This window comes from Homo sapiens, chromosome 15, assembly GCF_000001405.40.
Source record: "Homo sapiens chromosome 15, GRCh38.p14 Primary Assembly".
Taxonomy (NCBI): domain Eukaryota; kingdom Metazoa; phylum Chordata; class Mammalia; order Primates; family Hominidae; genus Homo; species Homo sapiens.
The window spans coordinates 66,598,709-66,626,694 of NC_000015.10; the positions used below are offsets into that span (position 1 = coordinate 66,598,709).

The window sequence follows — 27,986 nt, forward strand, 5'->3', positions numbered from 1 at the left end:
CCTCTCATGGTCTGTCTCTGGCTGCCTTCCCATCCAACTGCCGCTTACTGCCCTCAGAGTGCTGGGAGGGGAGGGAATAGTGTAACCTAGGGCTGGCCAATAGAAATATAATGCGAGCCACATGTGGAATTTTTAGTAGCCATATTTATTTATTTTTTTTTGAGACAGAGTCTCACTCTGTCACCCAGGCTGGGGTGCAATGGCATGATCTCGGCTCACTGCAACCTCCTCCTCCCAGGTTTGAGTGATTCTCCTGCCTCAGCCTCCTGAGTAGCTGGGACTACAGGTGCCCACCACCATGCCTGGCTAATTTTTTATTTTTAGTAGAGATGGGGTTTCACCATGTTGGCCAGGCTGGTCTTGAACTCCTGACCTCAAGTGGATCTGCCCACCTAGGCCTCCCAGAGTGCTGGGATTACAGGCGTGAGCCACTGCGCCTGGCCTGCCACATTTAAAAAGTAAAAATAGGATTAATTTTAATAATATACATCGTGGAACCCATTATATTTCAAATGTTATTTCAACATGTAATTGATATAACATCATTAATGAGATATTTCATGCTTTTTTCTACCAAGTCTTTGAGATCTGGTGTGTGGTTTATGCTCACAGCACATTGCCATTTGCGGGAGCCAACCTCAGGTTCCCAGAAGCCACACATGGCAGGTGGCCCCTGTACTGCAACAGCTCAGGCCCTGCCTAACCCTAACCCCCAACCCTTCACCCCCAAAAAGGTAGGTGTAATAGAAGGTCCTGTGGGGATTAAACTTGCGAGGGTTTTCTTTTCTTTTTGCTTTCCCAGGGTAGACGTGAAGGGAGATTATACCTGTTAGAAGCTTGGTGTATGCTCACAGTCCTGGGCATACAGGACTCAACGAAGTCTTGTCCAGGAACCGGGGAATGGGCAGCTCTTTGTGTACAAGGGTTATAAAAGGAGAGGTTTTGACATGGGTCCTTAGAAGAGAACCAGGTGTCTGCATCAGGCATGTGTGTGTGTGTGTGTGTGTGCGTGCATGCACGTGCGTTGCAGGCAGCTCATTACCCTGGAGGACAGGGGAGTGGGCTCTTGTCAGCACAGCTTGGAACAGGAAAGCTATGCTCTGGAACCCTGTGGAGTCCTGGCTAGGGGCGGCCCCTTCCCGTTATGGGCAGCAGGAAAGTTTCTAGGAGGGGGACCTGGGAGTCCTATCTTTTCCTTTCAGCACCTCCTTCCATCCCTCCCTTTTTCATGCCCCCTTTCTCTCCTTGCCCCAGAACAAGGTGAGCGCCGCAGGTGCAAAGGCCCATATCTACCTGCTTCTCCTTGGAATGCCCGGGCTCTGAGTGGCTCTGAGGAGAGTCCTGGGAGAAGGGGCTGCAGAGGCCGGATTCCATCCACTTGGAGGCCTGACTTCCAGGCAGGGAGCCCCTCATACACTTGCACATTGCGACTGGGCAGGCAACCCGGTTAACCTGTGGCTTCAGACACTAGCACCCTCCCCTCAGTCACTTATAAAATGTGTGTGGGTGTGGGAAGGGGATCCCAGACTGAGGGAGGTGCAGGGGGCTGTCTGGGGCACTGGGCTGATGGCTGGGGTCTCTAGGAAAGGCCTGGTATAAAGGGTCATTCATTGTGACAGGTGTGCAGTGGGTACTGGCCTGGTCATGGCCAGCTGGAGCTTTCAGCAGGATGTAGTCAGGGCTGAGGTGCAGCCCTCCCTCCTGAGCTCGAGCTGTGCTCTTGGCAGAAGTCACTGTTTCAGACTGGAACACTGTGTTGGTAACAGAAGGGCAGCCTGGCCTGGCCAACTAACCATACAGCTAGAAGGTGACCTCGGTGACCAGCTGGTGCAGCCTCCCATGGTACAGATGGGCAAATGGAGGCCACTGGTGGAGGGAGAAACTGAAGACGGACTCAGGGTGAGGGAGTGCGCCACACTGTATCTGAACCAGCCCATTCACAGCTCTCCGAGGTGGGGCTCGTTCTTCCTATTTTACAGATGGGAAGAGCCAGGTTCAGAGGCGTTGTGAGCTTGGTAGACACTTGTGGCTGGCAAGTGGAAGAGCCATGTTCCAACCCCATGACAGTGATGCACCTGCACCTCCTGATGGGAGCTCATCTTTCCTTCAGTGTCTCTCCCCTTCCTCCAGAACCTTGTATCTCAGAGTTTGGGAACAGGGAGGGAGAATTTCAGGGAGTGAGCCTGGCAAAGTAGCAGGAGCATCAGCCCACTGACTTAGGTGAGTGAGAACTAGAACTTTATTTTTCTATCATTTTACTTAGTGTCAGTTCAAGCCCTCTTGGAGGATGGGAAGCAGAAGAGGGAAATGGCACAAACTCAATCTCAGGTGGTTTGAATTACTCCCCTTTGCCCCAAGAAGTGGTCTCAGTTAAACCAGGTGGCTCTCTCCTGACTATATATAGTGCCATTTCTAGGGACCCCAGAGTCATTCTGCTGCTTGGGCATTGGTGGCACCCAGACACTTCTGTGAAGTGTTCATAGCCCTGTCTAGACATGTGCCCACCCAACCCCATCCCCACCAATTCTCCCTCAAGATCTCCTGCTGTCCTAGGGGGTTCACTTTGGGTGCAGCTCTCCTTGGTTCCTGGACCCTTGGGTTCAGCAGCTTCCCAGGACATCTCAGATTTCATATTGATGGTTTCCATGATCTCCCCTCCCTGCAGCCTGAGGGATGATGGGTCAGCAAGGAAAGTGGGGAGGTTTTCCTCTGGACTTCTAGGGACAGACCACTGGCATGGGAAGAGCACCCACTCTGGTCCCTGGCTGCTCTGCTGATGGGGTGGGGGTGGGGGCACTGTTCTGAGGGTCTCTTAGCATGCAGGTGGTTTCCATTCTCTTTCTTGTGGACAGTTCACATATTGCTCTGACATCATTAGTCAGCCTCAATCTCCCAGGGCCATGGGGGTCTGTGCCCCACCAGGCTCTGGAAGCCTTCACTTTTTGTATAGAGCACCTTGGCATAAGTGACTCCATCTTAGAAAAGGACTCCACCTTACATTTCAAAAGGCATCAAACCAACAGGGTCCAGATATTTGCCTAATCAGTAGAGATAACACCCAAACAGATAAGGGCATCACCCTTTACTATCAATCCTCAACAGAGGACTCAAGGACCATAAAATGAGCAAGATTTCATCACCTAGACCCTGCCGTCTTGACAGACCCTGTCTTGCTGTCACTTGGGATCAGCACCCAGCATCTGCCGCTGAAGGCTCTGCCCAAATCAAAGACTCTTCCTTGCAAGATGTTAATGACTATCCGGATTAGACCAGGACTGATTCATTAACCCTTTTTCCTCTCTCCTTTTCTTTTCTTTTTTTTCTTTTTTTCTTTTTTTTTTTTTTTTTTTTTTGAGATGAAGTCTTGCTCTGTCACCCAGGCTGGAGTGCAGTGGTACCATCTCGGCTCACTGCAACCTCTGCCTCTTGGGTTCAAGCAATTCTTGTGCCTCAACTTCCCAAGTAGCTGGGATTACAGGCGCACCCACCACGCCCAGCTAATTTTTGCTTTTTTAGTAGAGACGGTGTTTCGCCATGTTGGCTAGGCTGGTCTCGAAATCCTGACCTCAGATCATCTGCCCGCCTCAGCCTCCCAAAGTGCTGGGATTACAGGTGTGAGACACCACGCCCGACATCTTTTTTTTTTTTTTTTTGAGATAGAGTCTCGCTCTGTCGCCCAGGCTGGAGTGCAGAGACATGATGTTGGCTCACTGCAGCATCTACCTCCCAGGTTCAAACGATTCTCGTGCCCCAGCCTCCCAAGTAGCTGGGATTACAGGCAACCGCCACCACACTAGGCTAATTTTTGTATTTTTAGCAAAGACAGGGTTTCACCGTGTTGGTCAGGGTGGTCTCAAACTCCTGACCTCATGATCTGCCTGCCTTGGCCTCCCAAAGTGCTGGGATTACAGGTGTAAGCTACCGTGCCTAGCCTCTCCCCTTTTCTTTTGATGTTCAATGTTACTGTTCGGTGTGAAATTTTAATCTATAACATTTATATGTGAAATATACTACAGTGTATAGTTTTCAGTATGGACTGACTTGTTGAATGGCTTGAGCCTGTGTGCACATGGCTCTACCAAGTGAACCGAGAGTGCTAAGAATTGCCTCCTTGGGAACTCCATGGTGCTCGTGGCTTTTATGATTGAAACAACATCAGTAAAAGTCTGACCTTGTGGAAAGACAATGTGTGTGGACCTGGTTATGTCTGAGCTTATGCCGCTCATGACACTTTCACCAGTCAACGCAGGGAGAAGGGGCAGGCTGGTTTGCCCAGGACTGGAGTGGGGTGGTTCCTGGGAAGATGAACTTTCAGTCCTAAAACAGACATAGCCCGGGCAAGGGGGCTCACCTCTATAATCCCAGCACTCTGGGAGGCCAAGGCAGAAGATTGCTTGAGCCCAGGAGATCAAGATCAGCCTGGGCAACATGAAAAAACCCATCTCTGTAAAAAATACAAAAATTAGCCAGGCTTGGTGGCATGCATCTTTGGTCCCAGCTACTTGGAAGGCTGAGGTGGGAGGTTTGCTTAAGCCAGGGAGGTCAAGGCTGCAGGGAGCCGAGATCATGCCACTGCACTGCAGCCTCAGTGACAAGCAAGACCCTGTCTCAACATAAAATAAAATAAAATAAAACAAAAAAAATAAAACTGGGACATCCTGGGTGAACTGGGATTCGCTGGTTTTCTTACCTCTCTCCTTCCTTCTCTCTCTCCCTCCCCCAGCCTGGTATGGCTGGCCTGTAAGGGGAGGACAGGGTCAACGGCCCTTCGTCTTTGTGCTTGGGACAGGGTGCTAGGCAGACCAGGCCTTGGGAGTTGGTTTTGGGGGATGAGACTCCTCCATGAGACCAGCTTCAACCCTCCACACTGTTCCCACCTCCAGGGTTTCTCCTAACGTTTGGGCCAGAGTTTGCATTGTAACAGCCATCTGTGGCCATTTTAACTTAATATTTTAAATGACATCTTTTCTTGTCCAAATGTTGGCCTCGAGTTTAACTCTGGGGGTGGGGTGGGGATGGGTTGGGTATAGTGTTTCCTGGGACATGTGGACAAGCCGCCCCCAGGGGGCGCTCACAGCCCGTCTGGGCAGCACCATGTTGCCAGCGATGCCTCCTGGGATGCAGTCTGCAGACCCCTCAATGAGTGGTTCCCAGGAGGGGCAGGAGAGACTCTCAGGGCAGGGTGGCGGTGGGGATTGGTGTGCTGACCTTTCAACTCCACAGTGTGATTCCTCCTCCCATTAGGAGACGGTCCCCCAGAAGGTCTAGTCCTGCCCAGAGTGGGGCAAGGATGGGCTTCAGGGAATTTGTATGCAAAGTGGTGTGAGGGAGACATGTAGAATATTTCTAGGGAAAGGGCTCATGGTTTTAATTAAGCATCACAAAAAGGGTTGGTACCCGCTTCACAGTTAGGGACCCTGCTCTGGGTACCAGAATCCCCAGACGGGAAATAGCTCGTGCACCATGGCTGACTGGTCATTCTGGCAGCCCCCAGGCAAGGTGGGCAGGTCAAACTTCTCTGAACACCCTGAGAAAAAGCCAACAGAGACCGCCATTCTCTTCTCCAAAAGGAGACAGAAAATGCCCCCTATTTCCTCTTGCCCCCGAGCTCTGCTCTGCCTGAGCAGGGCCCAGGACCCCCTGTCTGAGGAAGCAGAAGGCCTAGTCCTGCTACTTACTTGCCCAATGTTGCTGGGCCTTCATTTCCTTGCTTGTAAAGTGGGGATGTGAGTACCTGGTGTGTAGGGTGGTTCTGAGAATCAAAGGAGATGATCCTCATGGGCAGGGGTCTGTAATTCCCATAGAGCTGGGCACAGGGAGCCCTTGCTGCCTATTCTTGGCTGATGCCCCTCCTCCAGGGTCGAGGCCCTCTCTCCTGCAGGGCAGAGACATGGGCAGTGTCCATGTGCTGACCAGGGCTTCCTGGCTGCAGCGGGACAGCGTGTCTCCTTTAGAAAGGTAACAGGTAGGTCATGTAATTAAGTTAGAATGTGAGTTCCACAAGAGTAGGAGTTGTGTCTGTTTTGTTCATTCCTGTATCATCAGGGCCTAGAACAGAACCTGGCATGTAGTAGGTGCTCAAGAAATATCTGTCGAGGCCGGGCATGGTGGCTTATGCCTTTAATCCCAGCACTTTGGGAGGCCAAGGCAAGTGGATCACTTGAGGCCAGGACAGCCCTGGCCAATATGGCGAAATCCTGTCTCTACAAATTACAAAAATTAGCTGGGCGTGGTGGTGCACACCTGTAATCCCAGCTACTTGGGAGGCTGAGGCACGATAATTATTTGAACCTGGGAGGCAGATGTTGCAGTGAGCCGAGATCGCACCACTGCACTCTAGCCTGGGAGATGGAGTGAGACTCTGTCTCAAAAACAACAGCAACAAAAAAAGAACAAAAATATCTGTTGGATAACAAATGGGGCACTGGGGAAGGGGAGGCGCAGCCAGACATATCTAGTAAGGTGTAGGGAATGGGTGGGGAGGGGCTGTGTGACATTTTCCCAAAGACCCGGTTTTAGTTCTGCCATAAACTCTCTGGATGACCTTGGGTGAGTTCCTTCTCCTCTCTGGGCCTGTTTTCCCAACTATAAAATGAGAGGATTGGCTGAGGAGGTCTTTGTCTCAGCCCGGCTCCGACGCCCTGTGCCTCCATGGGAAGCATGCCCCACACTGTCTAGAGAAGAGTGTCTGATGGGGGAGGAGGGAGGGACACGAGAAGCCCAAGAGGTCTGACAGGGACCAAGAGGAGCTGCCGTGGCATGGGAGCATGGCAGGTGGGCACTCATCCTATAGTGAGACCCAGACCCATCCTCTGGCAGCTGGTGACTGCGGCAACTTTCTGCTGCCACCCACAGGAACAAGCATCTCTCCTCCCATCCCCAGCCCTTCTGCCTTCACCTGTAGAAGGAGGCGCTGCAGGTGTGTGCTCCTTCTCAGTTTGCAAACTGAGCAAATGATAAGACTTCTAGGATACAATGTCATCTGGGTCCAAGCAGAACCGCTGGTTGAAGCTTTGGGGAAAAGACATTCCATCTCTAGTTGAGGCTCTGCTGCACCCCTTGGACCTGGGTTGAAACCTTCACAGCCCCCTGAACCTCGGGGTGATAGCGAGGTGACATGGTGGGGCTTTCATGTAGCTCCATGATATTATAAGCCATTAAATACTAAACTTAACACCACTGCCCTTTCTTTGGTCTCTTGTCCTAATTTTCTTCTGAGAGTAAGCTGACAATTACTTTCATTCTATAGCCTGATATAAAGACATATTGGCCAGACACAGTGGCTCATGCTTGTAATCCCAGCACTTTGGGAGGCCAAGGCGGGAGAATCACTTGAACCCAGGAGTTCGAGACTAGCCTGGGTAATATAGTGAGACTGTGTCTCTACTGAAAATTAGAAAAAAAAATTTAGCCAGGTGTGATGATGCTATCTGTGGTCCCAGCTACTTGGCAGGCTGAGGTGGGAGGATCACTTGAGCTGGGGAGGTCAGGGCTGCAGTAAGTGGTGATTGCAGAACTGCACTTCTAGCCTGGGAGACAGAGTGAGACCCTGTCTCAAAAAAAAAAAAAAAAATCCAGGCATGGTGGCCCACACCTGTAACACTTTGGGAGGCTGAGGCAGGTACATGGCTTGAGCCCAGGAGTTTAAGACCAGCCTGGGCAATGTGGCAAAAACTCATCTCTACAAAAAATTAGCTGGGTGTGGTGGCGTGGGCCTGTAGTCCTAGCTACTCAGGAGATTGAGGTGGGAGAATCACCTGAGCCCAGGGAGGTCGAGGCTGCAGTGAGCCTTGTTTGTGCCACTGCACTCCAGCCTGAGCAATAGAGTAAGATAAATAAATAAAATAAAATAAATGAGACTCTTATGTGTTCTTCTGAGAAAGTTCTAGCATGTTGCCCACCACCCACAAAAAAACCTAGCACTGTCTCCAGCAACCAGTGAAACCATACTAACTAAAACCCAATTGGATTAAAAATGACTTACAACAAAAGTAGAATGTGCTTTTGTGTGAACATTGCAGAATTATATGAGGTTTTTTTTTTTTTTTTTTTTTGAGACAGAGTTTTGCTCTTGTTGCCCAGGCTAGAGTGCAATGGTGTGATCTCAGCTCACTGCAACTTCTGCCTCCTGGGTTCAAGCGATTCTCCTGCCTCAGCTTCCCGAGTAGCTGGGATTACAGGCGCCTGCCACCATGCCCAGCTAATTTTTTGTATTTTTACTAGAGACGGGGTTTCACCATGTTGACCCAGCTGGTCTCGAACTCCTGATCTCAGGTGATTCACCTGCCTTGGCCTCCCAAAGTGCTGGGATTACAGGTGTGAGCCACTGCGCCCAGCCAAGATTTTTTTAAGTGAAAACTCTCACTTCCCCTCCATCTCATTGTCTAATATGAATATTTTGGTGCATCATTCCAGACATTTCTATGCATATATGGACTCTGCACACACAAACATTTATATGCTTTTTTCTACAAATAAGATCAGAATCTACATACTATACTGCAGTATATATATTCTTCCAAGTCAGCACTGTGGTCACTCTTTGACCACATTAATGCACATTTGATTTATTTCCAGTTTTCTATTATTGCAAAGATTGTTGATATGGCCTTTTGTACCTAATTTTTGTGCAGTTGTGTGAGTTTATCTGCAAGGTAACTTTCTAGAAGTGGCATTACTGAATCAAAGCATATACATATTTAAAACGTTTATAGATATCATCAAACTACCAAGCTCAAATTTTTGTACATTTACATGTTCACCAACTGCAATTTGCTTATTTCCCCATACCATTACCTGACCATTTAAAAAATCTTTATCCTGTAGGTGAGGGTTGTATTACATTTCTTCAAATGTAAGTGAAGTTGAACACCTCTTGTATTTATGAACCTTTTATATTTTTTCCTACTCTTTAGTTGTCTGTTTCGTTTCTTTTCTTTTTTTTTTTTTTTTGAGACAGGATCTCTCCCTGTCACCCAGGTCGGAGTGCAATGGTGAGATCGCAGCTCACTGCAGCCTCAAACTCCTTGGCTCAAGCTATCCTCCCACCTCAGCCCCCTGTACTGAGTAGTTGGGACTACAGGTGTGCACCACCATGCTCAGCTTATTTTTTAATTTTTTGTAGAGATGAGGTCTCACTGTTTTGCCAAGGCTGGTCTTGAACTCCTGGCCTCAAGTGATCCTCCCGCCGCGGCCTCTCAAAGTGCTGGCACTATAGGTGTGAGCCACCATGCCCAGCTATTTTTTTTTTTTTCATTTTTAAAATCCACATGGTAACAATGATTACTATTCCCTTTATGGAGTCCTGGTTCCTTGCCTAGCTGCATTTTTAATACTACAGCCCTGGCAACTATGAAGGTCCTTAGTCCACATATTGAGATTCAAGGGAGAAAGGTTTTTTTTGCCAACTGCAGCTGAAGAGCAAGAGATACAGAGGGCCTGTCCTTTGCCAGGTCTAGAATCTGATCCCTGCAGGGAGAAAAGGTACAACTGAGAGAGGGAAGGTAAGCTGGAGAGAAGTCTTAGATTTTAGTGCCCCTGGTAGCTGTCCTATCTCCCCTTGACTCCAGTTTCTCTAAATGCAAAATATGATTGAATCAACTGAAGTAACGCCAAAGTGACATCCTGTTTTAACATTTGCTGATGCAGCCATAAAAAAAAAAAATCATGTCCTTTGCAGCAACATGAATGCAGCTGGAGGCCATTATCCTAAGCGAATTAATGCAGGAACAGAAAACCAAATACCGCATGTTCTCACTTATAAATGGGAGTTAAACATTGGATACTCATGGACATAAAGATGGGAACAAAAGAAACTGGAGACTACTAGAGTGGGGAGGGAGGAGGGAAGGCAAGGGTTAAAAACTAACTATTGGGTACTATGCTCAGTACCTGTGGGATGGGATCATTGGTAATCCAAACCTCAGCAGCATGCAATATAGCCAGGTAACAAACCTGCACGTGTACCCTGGAATCTAAAATAAAAGTTGAAAACATAATTAAATAAAACTCCCAGGCCAGCTGAGGTGGCTCACGCCTGTAATCCCAGCACTTCGGGAGGCGAGGCAGGTGGATCACCTGAGGTCAGGAGTTTGAGACCAGCCTGTCCAAGATGGTGAAACCCCATCTCTACTAAAAATATAAAAATTAGCTGGGTGTGGTGATACACGCCTGTAGTCCCAGCTACTTGGGAGGCTGAGACAGGAGAATCATTTGAACCCAGGAGGTGGAGGTTGCAGTGAGCCAAGATCACACTACTGTACTCTAGCCTGGGCAACAGAGCGAGACTGTATCTCAAAAGAAAAAAAAAGAAAAAAACCCCTCCCATTCATTGAACAAATGAATGATACTAGGCCCACAGCAGTTAAATGGCTTATCAAAAGATACACAGCTGGTTTGTGATGGGTGGAGAGGCCTGGGAACCAAAGAGAGAGCTGTGTTTGGAGTTTTCTACCCCATCACCTGGCCTGTGGCACCAGCCCGCAGGTGGCTATAGAAGTTTGTGTCAGTTTCTTGTACTATTTCTGCCATATGTGATGGGTGATTTAAATTAATAACACCCATTTTATTCAGAATAATTCCTAAAAATGCTTTTTTTGGTATAATTTTTTAAAATAAATAATTCACTCTTGGCCAGGCACAGACGCTCATGCCTGTAATCACAACATTTTGGGAGGCCAAGGCAGGGAGATCACTTGAGCCCAGGAGTTTGAGACCAGCCTGGGCAATATAGTGAGATTCCTGTCTCTATTTTTTAAAGGTAACAATAATAAAAATAAATAATAATTCCCTCTCATAGTTTACAATAAAAATTGTGAAAATACTCTATGCCACCCTGTCACTCACTCAGCCACCCAGTTCACTTCCCCACAGGCTACCTGTGTTATTAGATTCTTGTGTAGCTTTGTAAATGTATTTTATGAATGTGCAAGAAAATAAATTTTATATATTCCTTAAAAAAAAGTTTGATGAGTTTATTCCTACATGATGTGACCTCAGACCTATTTCTCTTCCTCTATAAAAGGAGGAGGTAAAATAGTGAAAAGTCAGTCCTTTCCAGCACTGCAGACTCGCGATGCCATAGCAGAACTTCCCAACCTTCGCTGTGCATCGGAGGTCAAGGAGCAGTCAAGAATGCTGATGCTCCGGCCATACTCTGGGACAATTAAATTAGGAGCTCTGGGGATGAGGCCTCAATCACTTTTAATGCTCCCAGCTATTCTGATGCTTGCTATGTCCGGAGTGCAGCCTGAGATTCTGCATTTCCAGCAAGCTGCAGGTGAGGCTGATGCTGCATGCTCGGGACCACACTCTGAGAAGCCAGGGTGGCCACATCGGCATCACTGGGAGCTCCTTAGATATGCAGACCCTCAGGCCCCACCCCAGTCCTCCTCGACCTACATGTCAGCAGTTCAGCAAGAGCCCTGTGAATCAATCTTGTTGACAAGACTCATTCGGGTGCCCAAATCTGGCAGGACAGTGATGCCCAGGGACCTCTTTCCCAGGCAGAGCAGCCCAGCCTGATCCCCCAGTCTGGCTTCCCCAAGTGCCTCTGTGCTGCTCAGGGGAACACATTCATTTTCAAAAGCAGCACCTTTGAAGCAGAGGTTACACCGTTGTATTCACTTTTTGAGAATTCATTGAGCTGAATACTTATGATCTTGCCAACGAAAAAGGGACAGGACCAGGTTATCCCATCCCAAACTCCAAAAAGGTTGAGTAGCCCTGACTCAGCTGTACTTTGCAGGACAGGTTAGACACACAGGGATAATATTTGCGAGTCAAAAGGGTAGTAGGCGTCTGCTTTCTTTCTAACATGGAAGGAAGGAAGGGGTGAAGGGGTCTGTGTCAGCTATTAAACAGTACCTGGGTCTGTTGACAATTGAAATGGATCTTGAGTGAACCTCAGTTTTCTCATCTGTATGAGGTGGCTAGTGATGCCTCTTTCTCTAGGTTTTTCTTTTCTTTCTTTTTTTTTTTTTAAGATGGAGTCTCACTCTGTTGCCCAGGCTGGAGTGCAGTGGTGCGATCTTGGCTCACTGCAACCTCTGCCTCCCGGGTTCAAGTGATTCTCCTGCCTCCGCCTCCCAAGCAGCTGGTATTACAGGCGGGCACCACCATGCCCAGGTAATTTTTTTGTATTTTTAATAGAAACGGGGTTTCACCATGTTGGCCAGGCTGGTCTCAAACTCCTGACCTCAAGTGATCCGCCTGCCTCGGCCTCCCAGAGTGCTGGGATTACAAGAGAGAACCACTGTGCCCGGCCAGGTTTTTCAGTTTAAGGTTAAACAATATTCAAGCAAAGTAGCTAGCCTGGCACATAGTAGGTGCTCAAATCTATCCAATGCAGCCTTGTTGGGGGCTTCCCATGAAATGGGTTATGGTCAGGTCTTGGTGCCATGGTTAGTGGCGTCAGACAGACCTGGCCTGCCCCTCACTAGTTGCAGGACCTTAGATTAGTCATCTTGTCTCCCTGCACCTCAGTTTACTTGTCTGTTGAATCACATGGTAGAACCACCTTGGCAGAGTTGTCATAAGGATTAAATGAGGTCGAGAGTGTGAGGCTTGGTGGCTGGTGCCAGGCCCAGAGCCGCGGCTCTGTCGGCCTGAGTTCAGGCTGTGGGTAGCCAGCTGTGGGAGACCTGGCTTCAGAGAACAGAGTCCCCTTTGACTCTGCCGGCCACTGTAGTCATTACTCCACAATCGCTGAGCCCTGGAGAGCAAATATCCCCACAGGCCAGCTTTTTTCTTGGCTGCAGCCCCTTCAGCCAGCCAGGTTTGGGTTGGCAGGCAGAGCGAGAGGTGTGGCTGTGACGTGAGCACGAGTCCCCATGTGTGCTGAAGCTACGCAGGTGGGGGTGGGGGCTCCCAGCCTGTCTCAGTGGCTCAGGGCAGCGCCTACTCTTAGCTTCCAGAGCCTGGCAGGGCCCTGCTGCTTTGGGCCAGTGGAGGGAGAGCACCTTGGCCTCAGTGGGGCTCAGGCCATCCCTAAGGCATGGGTGTGATTGTTATTCTCATTTTATAGTTGGGGAAACTGAGGTCCCCAACTCTGGTGACCACCAGAGTGTACAGGAAGGCAGAGGCCCTTTCTGATTTGGTCCTGCTGTGGGTCTGAAGGTCCAACCCATTCCCTGGGAAAGGCTTTGTCTCCAGAAGTCATTCATTCATTCATTCATTCATTCATTCATTTCACAGGGACTTGCTCTGTTGCCCAGGCTGGAATGCAGTGGTGCGATCTTGGCTCACTGCAGCCTTTGCCTCCCGGGTTCAAGCAATTCTCCTGCCTCAGCCTCCTGAGTAGCTAGGATTACAGGCACCCACCACCATGCCCAGCTAATTTTGTATTTTTAGTAGAGATGGGGTTTTACCATGTTGGCCAGGCTGGTCTGGAACTCCTGACCTCAAATGATCCACCTGCCTTGGCCTCCCAAAGTGCTGGGATTACAGGGGTGAGCCACTATGCCCGGGCTCAGAAGACCTCCATTTAAATGGCCTCATCAGGCCAAGTGTGGTGGCTCATGCCTGTAATCCCAGCACTTTGGGAGACTGAGGCAGGTGGATCACCTGAAGTCAGGAGTTTGAGACCAGCCTGGCCAAGATGGTGAAACCCCGTCTCTACTAAAAATACAAAAATTAGCTGGATGTGGTGGGGGTGTCTGTAATCCCAGCTACTTGGGAGGCTGCGGCAGGAGAATTGCTTGAACCCAGGAGGTGGAGGTTGCAGTGAGCTGAGATTGTGCCATCACACTCCAGCCTGGGCAACAGAGCAAAAACTCCATCTCAAATCAAAAAAAAGGCTAGGCGCAGTGGCTCAGGCCTGTAATCCCAGCACTTTGGGAGGCTGAGGCAGGCGGATCAGGAGGTCAGGAGTTTGAGACCAATCTGGCCAATATGGTGAAACCCTGTGTCTACTAAAAATACAAAAAAGTTAGCTGGGCATGGTGGCGCATGCCTGTAGTCTCAGCTACTTGAGAGACTGAGGCAGGAGAATTGCTTGAACCTGGGAGGTGGAGGTTGCAGTGAGCTGAGATCGCACCACTGCACTCCAGCTTGGGCCACAGAGCGAGACTTCATCTCAAACAAACAAACAAAAAATAATTAAAAAAGGCCTCATCAGACCTCAGAAGGGCTAACTCATGCCCACAAAGGCTTATTGGGCATCTGATTTGTGCCTGCCCCTGTGCCCATGCCAAGGAAGCAGGGAAAAGGGAGTCAGACACAGTCCTGCCAAGGCATGGGTTCAAATCCCAGCTCTGCCACTGGCTAGCTATGGGGGCAAGGCAAGTATCCACTCTGGGCATCACTTTCCTCATCTCTAAAATAGTTGTAGGGAATGAAATAAGAAATATTGTGTGTGGTTTTTAATGCAGTCCTGGTTAATGTGAGAGATTATTAATACTCCTGAGCTAAAACTCAAGTATCTGTCACCAAAGCAGAAAAAGCACAGGAGAGAAGGGTTGGGGGGCTGCAGGCAGTTGCACAAGTAGGTGTATGGGGTGGGTTTGTTGGGGGAGGAAGATGTACCTCTAGACAGAAGGCTGGAAGGGGCAGAAGGCTGGTCTAGCCTTTGCTGTTCATGTTTGAGAGAGAAAGAGACCCAGAGAGGGTTTTGCCTAAAGACTGTGGCTAAAACAGGAGCCACAGTCTAGACTTCTGGGAGGGAAAAATGCTTTAACCACTCTGAACCTCAGTCCCCCGCAATCCCCATTGGTCACACAGGGGCTGCTGGGAGTGCTCTGTCTCTGGAGCAGGTGTGTATCTTTTGTACAATGTGATCCCCATGTCTTATGGGTGACCAAGGGTCCGTGATGGTGTTCTGGCAGCCCTTGACGTGCCAGAGCATGGTCCACTGAGGAATGAGACTTCATCCTTTTCCAAGTGGGGTTGGTCTGACCTCGGGGCCAGGCTTAGGCCGAGCCAGACTGATGGGAAAGGGGTCAAATTGTGGAGAGCCCCGGTGGGGTTCCAGGGACCCTTAAGAGAGGAGGTAGACTTTGGAGAGAACAGCAGCTTTGTCTCCTCTGACTGTGCTGTGGACAAGATGGTCCTGGGTCCTGGGGAGGTGAGAATTCCCAGGCTGATCCACAGGCACTCTAATCCCAGGGTGGGACCTGAGGCAGGGAGAGAAGCCAGCCCAGGGTTCTGGGCCTGGGGGTCTGAGTGGAGGAGGAGGAGGGAGAAGAGGAGGCAGAAAACTGTTGTCAGCCAGGAAATGTCTGCCGGAAGCACTTGAGCTAGTGTGCTTCCGGTAGGCGGTGCATACAGGCCCAGTGAACTCACCCCTCAGCCATTCCAGGATAGCCCCTCATTCCATGTAGACCATCCCATTGTCCCCTAGAACAGCAACCTCTTTGCATCCAACCAACATCCATTCATTCAACAATGTTTACCAAGCACCCACTTTGTGTGGGTACTGCACCAGGCACTAGCATTCAGGGACAAACTTTGGGGCTCAGTGGCTAATGGGTCTACATTTTCCAGCCAGCTCCCTGCACCTGGAGCTGGTGCAAATCTCCTTGCCTGCTGCTTTGGTTGGGACACTGAGGTCATCACTGACGAAGAACAGTCCCTAGAATGGGAACACCCCAGGGGTGGGGATGGCCTACAAACATTGATTTGGGCCCACTCATGACAAGTGCTACATTGGGGGTCTCCATCTGTTGTCTCATGAAGTTTCCCAACAACCAGTGGAGTGTCTCCTCCTCACTTACAGAGATGTACACATGAGTCTCAGGGGAGCTGGTGCCACGTCACACAGTTCATAAGAGTCTGCGCCAGGATTCAGACCCAGGTCTTTCCTGGACACCAAGACTTCAGAACTTGTACAACTCAGAACTTGAAGCTAGTACAAGTGAGCCTCTGATCTTGATTTGAATCCTTGGCTTAAAACCGCGTCCTAGTCTAGTGGTTTGGGGAGGGTTACCTAGCTCCTCTGAGCCTCATTTTTCTCATCTGTAAAATGGGGCACATGGAGATAGTTCAGAGGAGGGCTATGAAGGTTAAGTGGGACAGTGATGTAAAAGTCCCTGCCCACTGGCTGAAGCAAGAAGCTTCAGGAGAACTCTTTCAGGGAATTTTATCTCCAGAATTCTCTGGCTAGAGAGGACCTGGAGGAGTCACTGAGTCCCCTCCCCTGCCCCTACGCCTAATCACTTTAGGTTATTGCAAGAACTGATAGACTGCACACCATTTTACTAGGCTTAATGAGCAGGGACAGATGGGGAGGAATGAGAGGGGAGGAAGGTACAGATGAATAACAGGAAGTAGCATCCCCTCTCACCCTTCCTCTCCTCTCTCAATACTTTAGAATATTGGGGATAAAGAAGAGCCATCCTGTGTGAAGCAATGAGACCAGTGTAGGCCACCACAATGATCATCTCTTTACTTACACTTCCCCTTATTAAGATAGCTCATGTCTTATTTCACCCCCGACACAGCTCTGTCAATTGCTAATATTATCCCCATTTTATAGAGGAGCAGATAAGGACACTGATTATTGGACAGATTTACCTAAGGCCCCCAGGCTAGTAAATGGGTGAGAGTTAAGCCTCTGTTGGTAACCCCAGTTCCTCTAGGGGAGGCTTCCGGAGCCAGGCAGAGGAGGGGGCAGGTTCCTATTAGAGAAAACGAGAAGGACTTTTCAGCTGTACAGAGCTTTTGCAAAAGGCTTGAGGCAGATAAAATATAAACTACTGGATTAAAAAAGCCCTTCAGATGTTTGTCCCTCTCCTGCCCCTCCTTTACAAGAGACTCCTGCATCACATCTGTCTTTCTGGCTGCAGATGCCATGCCTCTCCCCTGTCCAGCCCTCGATGGTCGGCACAGTGGCACCCCCTGGATGGACAGGCAGATGATGGAAGGCCTCCATAGCCTCCCCTGAGAGCAGCCAAACAGCTCTCCCAGATGCTGGAGCCGGAGTCTTCCAGCCCCATGGGTTCTGCTCATTTCTGTCCGACAGGTAGTTATTTATCCAGAGAGTGATTCTCTTTCGGAGACTGGGATTTTAAAACTTCTCTGAAGACACTCTGTTGAAAGCAAGGCATTTGTTCCCCAAGGGCAGCTCCACTGCATTTCTGGTGTGTACATGTATGCATGTGAGCACGTGTACGTGTGAACACTCACACAGGCATTCTGCCTGGCTGAGCCTGGGATGACAGTCTTGGGGCTTCTACCATTCTGCCCAGGTGTCCCTGGCTATCAGTCTGGCTTTTCCATGGAACTCCTGCATCAAACCTAGGGACCCCAAATCCAAGACTGTCCAGATACAGCTGGGGGCCTGGTGAGGGTCTTGGCTGCCATCACCAGCTCTGTGAGGCATTGCAATCTCTCGAGGCCTCAGTCTTGGCTTCTGTTAAATGGGAATAACAACAACAAAGTGATGGGAAAATTACACTGAGCATGGCCTGGAACAGCTGGTACTACAAGCTTCTGGGTTTGACTTCCATTCTGCCTTCCCCCAGGAAGCATAGCTTTCTCTCTTTTCCTTCTGCTTAAAGATGGCATCAGATAAGGGGAGGCAATTTTGCTACATGTGAAAATCCTGGACATCAACTACAGAGAGCTGAGCTCCAAACTGGACTCTCCCTTGTGCCAACTGTGTGGTCCTGATCAAGTGAGCCACTTCTTTTTTTTATTCTTTCTGAGACAGAGTCTCGCTCTGTTGCCCAGGCTGGAGTGCAGTGGCACGATCTCGGCTCACTGCAACCTCCACCTCCCAGATTCAAGCAAATCTCTGCTTCCTGAGTAACTAGGACTACAGGTGCCTGCCACCATGCCGGGCTAATTTTTGTATTTTTAGTAGAGACAGGGTTTCACCATGTTGGCCAGGCTGGTCTTGAACTCCTGATCTTGTGATCCACATGCCTCGGCCTCCCAAAGTGCTGGGATTACAGGTGTGAGCCACCGCGCCTGGCCTGTGAGTCACTTCTTTGAGCCAGTTTTCTCATTTGTAAAATGGGCGTATAATGCCATCCCCTCAGACTGAACTCCCTTCGTTCAGCTGGGTTACTTCCCACCAGAAAGGAGATTTCGTGATCAGATGGATGATTCTGTGGAGAGGGCAATGTGTGGCCAGAGGAATGCCTCAATGCTGGAGACATCTCGGAGCAGTGGGGAAGATGTTGCAGGGTGAAGTTGGGGGAGGGGTTCTAGTAGTTCCTAAAATCGAATTACCTACATTGTTAGTTACTCAGATGGAAACCTGGGTTGAGATATTCATAGAGGGAAACCATGTTGTTTCAAGAGAGGACATGACTTAGGCCACAGGGTGCCAAATTAGATTGGCCACAGAGCCCCAGAAAGGGAAATGGATTGGAAGCTGGGCTGCCCTAGTGTAACCAGGTCAATGCAACATAAACTTTTTGAGCTTCTGCTACATGCAGTCACCATACTAGGCACTTTGTATGATCAGGTAGATCTGGAATCAGACATTAATTCTGCCCTTAAGAAGCTCATAGTTGAATGAAAAAAATTAATTAGGTAATATGAATAAGATATCTACCTTCATGCCCCCCTGCTTCACAGTCACTTTGCACAGAGCCTGGTATGCAGTGGGTGCTCAGTACATGTTTACTGAATGTAACCAAACTATGAACTACAGTAGGGAGCAGACCCAGAGCAGTGGGATGGTGTCCCAGAGGAGGGGTCATTTATACTGGGCTTTGATGGCTGCTTAGGAGTCCTCTGCTCCTTCCATTTGTCCACTAATCCTCCACCAGGATTGATGAAGGCCACAGCAGGGCAAGGCCCTAGCTTCTCCCCTCCTGCCCACCCAGCCCTCATTCAAACTTTGAGGAGTCTCCGGATGTGAAGAGGAAGTGGCCGGGCTGCGGAAGGCAGGCTCATTTCCAGTGTGGGGCCTGGGCCGCCAGCCCCAGGTCCTGTTTACACAGCAAGGCGGACAGGCCGACAGAACTTGGCGGCAAATGAGCTTCTGCCTCTGAGAACAGAAGGGGCTGGCAAAGCCCAGCTAGGCCAGGCGTGGGGAGGCTTGTGCCAAGGGGAAAGTCGAATCTAAAGAGTGTTTCCTCCTGGCCAGGCGGCCCCAGACTTTTGTCTCCAGTCTGTGAGCAGTTCCTCCAGTGATTCATAGTCAGCGGGAACTTATAAATAAACCCCACCTCAGCCTCTCACCACAGCCTGGCCGGGACCTGGGCAGGGGTGTGGTAGGGGACTAGGAAATGGGAAGACTGAGGAGAGGCCCTGAGGAGCCATGGGGGACCCAGGTGACGCTGGCTGCAGGGCAGGAGCACCTCTGGCTTTCCATGGGGGATTGCAGGGCGGTTGCCAACTGTCACGGGGGCTGGGCCACCAGTCTAGAGCAAAGAACTCTCAGAGGCCTGGATTTCCACTGGCTCACCAGGAGTGTGGTAGAGGAAACTAGGTAGAATTTGGAAATGGCTGGGCTTTAAAACACTTTTGATATAATTTCAAAATAATAGAATAGAGACTTTGCATATACCCTGTAGCCAGAATCATCCATTGTTGACGTTTTGTTCAATTACGCTTCATTTTCTCTCCTCTTTATTTTTATTTTATTTATTTATTTATTTTTGAGATGGATTTTCACTCTTGTCGCCCAGGCTGGAGTGCAGTGGCACAATCTCGGCTCACTGCAACCTCTGCCTCCCAGGTTCAAGCGATTCTCCTGCCTCAGCCTCCCAAGTACCTGGGATTACAGGCACGCGCCACCCTGCCTGGCTAATTTTTTGTATTTTTAGTAGAGATGGGGTTTCACCATGTTGCCCAGGCTGGTCTTGAACTCCTGACCTCAGGTGATTCACCTGCCTCGGCCTCCCATAGTGCTGGGATTATAGGCATGAGCCACTGCGCCTGGCCTCCTTGTTATTTTCTCTGAACCATCTGAAAGTGGGCCTCCGGCATCGGACCTCTATGGCCCTTCAGTGTGCACCTCCTGAAACAGCTAGTGTTTGCATTTCTGAGTGACCATTTACTGAATGTATTCCAGGGCATGCTATTCAAGCTAAGTCCTCTGCGTGTCCCGTCTGTGAAATGGTACTAAGAAGGTCCCTCACCATGGTGAGCATGAGAGAAGTAACAATGAAAAGCATTTGCTGTAATCCTAATGATAAGTACAGCTCATTATCATGTCCAAGGCAACATGCACACATTGTTATTTGATCTTCACAACGGTCCTCCTTTTCTAATAAAGAAACTGAGGCTCAGAGACGGTGTGTAATTTGCACAGGGTCCCACAGCAGGTGAGCTGAGATGCCAGGCTTTGCTGCACACACCTGGGGCCTGTCCTCTTCCCTGTTTGTTGTGTGATCTCTGTTGAGGGCTGGCCTTCCTAAGGCCTCAGTCTCCCCATCACTGTGTGGGCAGAGGGATCTCTGGGGTGGGACGCGAGCTGCCTTCACAGCAGCTCAGCACTTGAGACCCCTAGAGACTGGACAGAAAGGAGCTCTTCTTGCATCAGCGCTGGAGTAGAAGTTGCTCCAGCAGCCAAACCCAGCTTCTTATGAATTATTCTGGCTGCCACAGGATCCGGGTTCAAAACTTGCAGATTGTTTCTGGAAACTCCAGGAAATCTGACCAGAAAACTCTGGGCCTCCTGGCCTTGGGAGCTCCTGTAGTGATGGGGCTCGGCCACCAGATGGCCCCACGCCGGCCACTGGACTCAAGGAAGCAGAGTCACAGTTTTTCAGGGCTGTGGCTCACCTCTGAGTGTATCCACACCACCATCCCTTTAGCCTCGGGTCACAGCCAGGGAAACCCAGCCCCGGAGGCGCAGCAACCTGCACCCGTTTCGAGGCCCGCACTTTGCGCTTCCCAGGGGTTGTTACCCTGGTCGAGCAAGGTCCCTGGTGAGATTCTGGCCTCGCCTCTGGGGCCAGTCACAGAGTTGCCAGAATCCTTAGGACCTGAGTTTCCACATTTACAGAAAGAGGAGAATCACTTCTGCCTGGCTTTCTTCATGGGGTCTGGGTGTCACGTCAAACACGGGGCCTCAGTTTCCCCATCTGTGAAACTGGTATAAAGGTAGGGGCTGACTGGTGATGTTGTGAGGATGAAAAGCAGCCAACATCCAAATGTGATTTGAGGCATGAAGCCTGCAGGCCAAAGTCTGGCCACCTACAGAGTCACCTTCTGCTTCCAGAACAGCCTCTGAACAGCAGCCTAGGACCTCAGGGTGGGAGGAGACGGCAGAGCGGATTCCACCTGCACCTTCCATTCCTCACATGGAGGAAAGTGAGGTCCAGACAGGACCAGGGACTTGCCCAAGGTCTCACAGCCCCGTCTGACTACACCAGAACCCAGAGGCATTCACTCTGAGGACAGTTGTCATTAGCTTTCCTCTAACTTCTGCAGGGAGGCCCAGCAAAGAAGCCCATGTCGGGAAGGGCTATGCAGCTGGGGCCGGAATGGGCACAGAGGGGCCACTGCGAGCTGGACCGCCACACTGCAGGGGGGCCCAGCTCGGAGCCTAAGGAACCTTCCTCCCTGAGGGACAACCAGTTCCCCCAACCAAGGTCTCCCCCTGGAAAAGCCCCTCGGGGCTCACCTGCCCAGACCCTGGGGGGAATATTTTTAAAAGTTTAAACACTCTCCAGGGAACATGCTGCATTTCTGTTCATACAGTGTATCTATGCTTTTATTTACGAAATAAAAAGGCTTCTGTTCTGTTAATTAGTGGGCTCATATAAACCCTCTCCCTCAGTTCAGGATGTGGGGGCAGGGGGAATAAACCAACAAAAATATAAAAATTTTGAATTCCAGATACGCTGAGCATGACCAGCCTTTCTGCCTGGGGAGGAGGAGGGGCATATAACCCCAAACCAGTAACTGCCCAGAATCTCCGGCTGATAACATGCATATTTTGAGAAGATCATGCTGGCAACTTGAATGTATTCATATTCATATTCGACTGGAATGGAGTGGCTTTTCTAAGAGTACATCTGAATGGGGGAGAAGGAGGGAGCAGATCCCTGAGAGCCTGGGGAGGGGGTATGTGCACAGAGAGGGGAAGCTGAGGACCCCAGAGGCTGAGGGTATTGCCCATGTGCCAGAAGGAAATGGGGGGGTTGCTATTGTTTCTAGGAGAGGCCTGGGGTGTAGGGGGCACAGAAAACTCAGTTTCCATGAGTCAGTGCTGGTAACCTGGAGAAGAAGGGGGCATTCTTATAACCCAGAATTTCCCCCAGGGGGATGGGCTGGCCTGTGGGCCTAGCTCCACATCCATCTCTCTGCAGACCCCACAGCTGCCCTGGGAAGGAGACACTGTCTTCATCCCCATTTCTCTCCCCGTAGACGGAGGCCCTGAGAGAGGGAGCAACTTACCCAAGAGCAGCCACACTGAGGCAGCGCCGGGATTCCTGGAACTAAGGTCTCTTGATGAGTTGCTTTGTACTCACATTCTGCCTGAATCTGGAGCTAGGCCTACCTGATTTCTGGCTTTGTGACCCTGAACAAGTTACTGAGCTCGGTTTGCCTCATCTGTACAATGGGTGTGATAGTGGCTGTCTCCTGAGGTTGCTGACAGGAAGGGTCTGGCACACAGCAGGCATGCAAGCAGTGGGAGCTGAATCACAGAGGAGTCAAATCTTACATAGAACACGGTTCTCAAAGCAGCTTAATGAAAAGAAAAACTTCCTGGAAAATCCTTTCTGGAAGGAGCCATAAAGAGTGAAGTCCTTGGGGACGGGTGGGGTGAAGGGAAGGCGTCTATGGGAGAAAGAGTACGGCTTTAGAATTGTCCAGAAGGTCAAAAAGTGAATGAGGCCTTGAGGCGGGCAAGCTGTGTGCAGTGGAAGAGGGGCTGGCCCCCTCATCCCCGTGCAGGTGCAGGAGGAGAACAGTGCCAGGACAGGCTTTGAATGCGAGCTGGAGAGGTCAGGCCCCGCGCCCTGTTGGAGATGCCTGGTCTTGGCAGTGGGGTGATCACAGGGGGCTCCCTCCGTGTGTGCCTGGATTTCCGGAACCCCACCCCAGAGCTGTTTCTCCGAGGAGAGCTGGGGCCGGTGGACGGCTCCTGGCTGCCCCTGTCAGGCCTCTCCCCCAGTCCTCCGCCTCCCTCCCTGTCTGGCAGCCAACTGAATTTTATGTGGGGAATTTGAAGAATTTGAAAAGGCAGAATGCAAATGCCAGTCTTAGAGATTTCCTTGTCAGCCGCTGAAGGGGAAAAGCCCCTCTTTGTGGGGCAGTGGAGAGAGAAGTGGAGTGTGGAGTTCTGCACTCGGGTCCCCACCGATGCTGGCGGCCAGGTGGCCAGGGACAGTCCCTTCGCCCCCCAGGGCGTCAACTCCCCGTCTGCGGAAAGGGCAGCTTTGTCCCCATCGCGCCCCTCGAGGCCTGGCTGAGAGGAACCGGGTGACCGAGAGGTCCGGGCGCAGGCCGTGTGCGAGGAAGGAGGTCACTGACGATTCTTCCAGGCCCTCGTTTCACAGAGGAGGGGACTGCAGCCAAAGAGACGGCTGCTGCGGGGGTCGCCGGGGCAGCCCCGCGTGGTCCCTGCGCCCTCCCGGCCGTGGGCTTCCCTCAGCCCTCGCCGCCCCCGGGCTGCCGGCTGGGCCAGGGCGCCTCTATCTCCCGCGGCCGCGGCGTCTCCGAGTCTCGGCCGCCCGAGCCCTGGGCGTTATCTGCGCTAGCCCGGCCGGGCCCCTTCCCGCCTTCCCGCCTTCCCGCCTTCCCGCCGGGCCAGGGCCGCCGTGGCGACGGGCCGCTCCCGCCTTATCGGCCGCCCCTGCGAGCCCGCGGCCGACCCCGCCTGGCCCTCCCCGGGCTGCCCCTCCCAGGTGCCCCCTCCCCCGGCAGCCCCCCGCCCTAAGATGCCCCCTCCCTGGGCTGCCCACGCCCCCTAGATGCCCCCGCGCCAGGGCGGCCCCCTCCCTGGCCAAGGGGCGCCACATCAGAAAAGGGTTTTCCTCAGATTTGTTCTTTCTTTAAAAGACAAGCCTAGCTATGCTTCGTTCCATTTCAGCCACATTTTAAACGATTTCACAAGAAAGGCAAACTTCTGCAAAATAACACAAAAAACAAAAGCACCCAACCCAGAAACCCACCAGGCATCAAGGCTGTCAGGGAAGCCAGAGCCCTTTATTCACCAGCTCTTTCTAAAATGCTCCTGCTGGGACTTAATGTGTTAGATGTGGCAGGCCTTGGAACTTCGGTTTCCCCACCTTAGTGTCTGAATCTGTAGGGCATGATACTCCCCGTGGTGCTGGTGGCAGAGAACATGGGTGCAGCCCTTTGTCATAACAATTTGGCAATATAGATGGAAAGCCATAAAATATTCATGCCCTTTGACTCAGTAATCTCACTCCGGGAATGCATCCCAAGGAAATAGTTCAGCAGCAGCAAAAGAAATAAAAAAGTATGGGTTCATCAATGTGTTATTTGTAAAGTTGGTGAGCATATCTTTCAGTGAAAAACTAGAATACATGAGTGGCATGGGACTGGGTTTGAAACCAGCACAGCCACCTATGGACCCTGGGAGAGGGGCTTAACATGGCTGATTTTCTGTTTCCCTATCTGGAAAGTAGCTGGCTCCAGCACTCAGAGGACATTGGTGAGAATGCCAGGAGACAACCCAGAAAGGCAGCTAGTACAGGGTCTGGGATAGAAGAGGAGCCTAGCAAATGTTTATTTGCCTGGTCTCCATCCTTACAGAAATGAAAGTATGGAATATTTCAAGTTACATTTGTAAATATCAGAGAAAGTATACATGGTGGTCAAGAGCTCGGAATTTTTGAGTCCTTGCACCTTGGACTGGGTCAGAATCCTAGCTGCACCATATGTGTGATCTTGACAAGGTGTACTTCCTCACTTACAAAAAAGGATAATAGAACCTGCTTGGTAGTATTGTGAGGGTTAAATGAGCTGATATGTGCAACGTGTTTAGGTCCGTGCCTGGTAGGTAAGAGACACTCAATAATCTGTTGGTGTTATTAAATAGTATTTAAAACTACACCAGCCTGGCCAACATAGTGAAACCTCGTCTCTACTAAAAATACAAAAAATTAGCCGGGCATGGTGACACGTGCCTGTAGTCCCAGCTACTTGGGAGGCTGAGGCAGGAGAATCCCTTGAACCCGGGAGGCAGAGGTTGTGGTGAGCTGAGATTGCGCCACTGCACTCCGGCCTGGGCAACAGAGTGAGACTTTGTCTAAAAAACAAAACAAAACAAAACAAAAACTACAAACAACTTCAATATCCCAAAATACTCCAAGTTAAATAGGTAACTTTCAGTGGAATATGATGCAATATTGAAAAAGAATGGGACAATCCATATAAGCTAATGAGGAAGGAAGTACATGAAGAGTTAAGAAGCAAGTTGCATCCATCTGGACAAATTTTCAGAGGCGTTTGAACCAGAGTGACTCCATCTTGAATATGGGGCTGTGTAAAATAAGGCTGAGACCTACTGGGCTGCATTCCCAGGAGGTTAGGCATTCTAAGTCACGGGGTAAGATAGAAGGTCAGCGTAAGATACAGGTCATAAAGACTTTACTGATGAAACAGTTTGCAGTAAAGAAGCTGGCCACAACCCACCAAAACCAAGATGGTGATGGGAGTGACCTCTGGTCGTCCTCATGGCTTCTTATACACTAATTATAATACATTAGTGTGCTAGAAGACACTCCCACTACCTCCATGGCAGTTTACAAATACCATGGCAACACCGAGAAGTGACCCTATGTTGTCTAAAAAGGGGAGGATCCCTCAGTTCTGGGAATTGCTCATCCCTTTTCCAGAACACTCATGAATAATCCATCCCTTGTTTAGCATATCATCAAGAAATAACCATAAAAAAGGGCAACCAGCAGCCCTTGGGGCTGCTCTGCCTACGGAGTAGCCATTTTTTTATTCCTTTACTTTCTTAGTAAACTTGCTTTCACTTTTACTCTATGGATTTCCTTCGAATTCTTACTTGTGCAAGATCCAAGAACCCTCTCTTGGGGTCTGTATGGGGACCGCTTTCCAGTAGCAAAATGACCTAAATATATAAAATTAGACAGTAAAAGTATAAGAAAAATATTCAGTAAAATTCTTGTATCAGTGTATAGTCTTGGATGTAGGAAGGATCTCCTCAAACAAACCAGGAACGCAGGACCATATAGGGAAAGATGGATAGATTATAAAATGTTTAAATGTCTACCTACATGGGTTTTTTTTGTTTGTTTTTTGTTTTTGAAACAAGGTCTCACTTTGTCGCCCAGCCTGGAGAGCAGTGGCGCGATAATGGCTCACTGCAGCCTTGATCTTCTGGCATGCACGACCATGCCTGGCTAATTTTTTGCATATATATATATATATATATTTTTTTTGTAGAGATGGGTTTCGCCATGTTGCCCAGGTTGGTCTTGAACTTCTGGGCTCAAGCAATCTGCCTGCCTCAGCCTCCCAAAGTGTTGGGATTACAGGCATGAGACACAACAGCCTGGGCTTACCTACATGTTAAGAGATTCCATGAGGCTGGGCACGGTGGGTCACGCCTGTAATCCCAACACTTTGGGAGGCCGAGGTGGGCGGATCACCTGAGGTTGGGGGTTCGAGACCAGCCTGACCAACATGGAGAAACCTTGTCTCTACTAAAAATACAAAATTTGCTAGGCATGGTGGCACGTGCCTGTAATCCCAGCTAGTTGGGGAGGCTGAGGCAGGAGAATCACTTAAACCCAGGAGGCGGAGATTGCGGTGAGCCTAGATCGTGCCATTGCACTTCAGCCTGGGCAACGAGAGCGAAAATCTGTCTCAAAAAAAAAAAAAAAAAAAAAATAGAAAGACTCCATAAACAAGTCCAGACACAATAGTAGATGGGAAAAAAATATTTGTTATAGAGATAGATAAAGCATTCATATCTTTTATATACAAAACCCCTACAAAATAATTGGGAAAAGTTAAACAATAGAAAAACAAGCAAAACCATGTCAAAGAAGAGGAAATGCAAATACAAGCATAAACATGAGAAAGGCATTCAACTTCCCCAGTTGTTGGAGAAATGCAAATTAAAAATATAAGCAAAATGCCATTGTTCTCCAAATACTAACTATTCAAATAGAAATGGACATGTTCTTTGCCCCAGCAAGCCCACATTGGAGACTCTGTTCATAAAATCTAGCCCCCCCTCTGCTTTTTTTTTAACCGCAGTGTCCATAGTGACAATCTCAGTGTCTACCTCTAACAGTATGAGGGGATAAATTTGGTTGTATCCATTCCAGGGAGGGAATATGTTGGAACTACTGAGAATGAGCTCATTGAATTTATATGCAGTGACTTGTGGGGTTGTCTGCGATATTCTATTAGGTTAAGAAAAGGCAGCTATGCAGGTGAGGTAAGGTGTGTGTAACGTATGATCCCTTTTTGTGCTTTAACAAAGTGTGTGTGTGTAAGACGTGGGAGGCAAGGCTTCACCAGGGTAAATACAATCATGTGTTATGCCATGACATTTTGGTCAATGACAAATTGCTTATACAGAGTGGTTCTATAAGATTATAATGGAGCTGAAAAATTCCTATCGCCCAGTGACATCATAGCCATAGTAAGGTAGTGCAATGCATTACTCACGTATTTATGGCAGACTGGTGTAAACAAACCTACTGTGCTGCCAGTCATATAAAAGTGTTTCACAGCACTTTGGGAGGCTGAGGCTGGAGGATTGCTTGAGCCCAAGAATTCAAGACCAGTCTGGGTAACACAGGGAGACCCCGTCTCTACAAATTAAAAATAAAAAATACAATAATTTGGGTGTAGTGGCGTGTGTCTATTGTCCCAGCTACTCAGGAGGCTGAGGTGGGAGGATCACTTCAGGCAGGAGGTCGAGGCTGCAGTGAGCCGTAATCACACCATTGCACACTAGTCTGGGCAACCGAGTGAGATTCTGTCACAAAAACAAAAATTTTTTTAAAGTATATTACATACAATTACTTATAATACATAATATTTGATAATAATAAATGACTATGTTACTGGTTTATGTATTTATTGTACTATAATTAATACATCAATATTTTAGTGTTACTCTTTCT

General features: G+C 49.5%; 1 long non-coding RNA gene across 1 annotated transcript in view, besides 4 other annotated features; it reads left to right on the forward strand.

Annotated features, from left to right (window-relative positions):
• Nucleotides 1–27,986, forward strand: part of LINC01169 (long intergenic non-protein coding RNA 1169) — a 103,609-nt gene that overhangs the window by 16,519 nt on the left and 59,104 nt on the right. The window lies entirely within an intron of this gene.
• Nucleotides 18,398–18,976: an enhancer, noted in NCBI's record as "H3K4me1 hESC enhancer chr15:66909444-66910022 (GRCh37/hg19 assembly coordinates)". NCBI's record gives its function as "activates a minimal SCP1, AML or CMV promoter by ChIP-STARR-seq in naive H9 embryonic stem cells {active_cell/tissue: H9 hESC(naive)}" and the evidence as "EXISTENCE:reporter gene assay evidence [ECO:0000049][PMID:30033119]".
• Nucleotides 18,977–19,555: an enhancer, noted in NCBI's record as "H3K4me1 hESC enhancer chr15:66910023-66910601 (GRCh37/hg19 assembly coordinates)". NCBI's record gives its function as "activates a minimal SCP1, AML or CMV promoter by ChIP-STARR-seq in naive H9 embryonic stem cells {active_cell/tissue: H9 hESC(naive)}" and the evidence as "EXISTENCE:reporter gene assay evidence [ECO:0000049][PMID:30033119]".
• Nucleotides 23,263–23,791: an enhancer, noted in NCBI's record as "H3K27ac-H3K4me1 hESC enhancer chr15:66914309-66914837 (GRCh37/hg19 assembly coordinates)". NCBI's record gives its function as "activates a minimal SCP1, AML or CMV promoter by ChIP-STARR-seq in naive H9 embryonic stem cells {active_cell/tissue: H9 hESC(naive)}" and the evidence as "EXISTENCE:reporter gene assay evidence [ECO:0000049][PMID:30033119]".
• Nucleotides 23,792–24,319: an enhancer, noted in NCBI's record as "NANOG-H3K27ac-H3K4me1 hESC enhancer chr15:66914838-66915365 (GRCh37/hg19 assembly coordinates)". NCBI's record gives its function as "activates a minimal SCP1, AML or CMV promoter by ChIP-STARR-seq in naive H9 embryonic stem cells {active_cell/tissue: H9 hESC(naive)}" and the evidence as "EXISTENCE:reporter gene assay evidence [ECO:0000049][PMID:30033119]".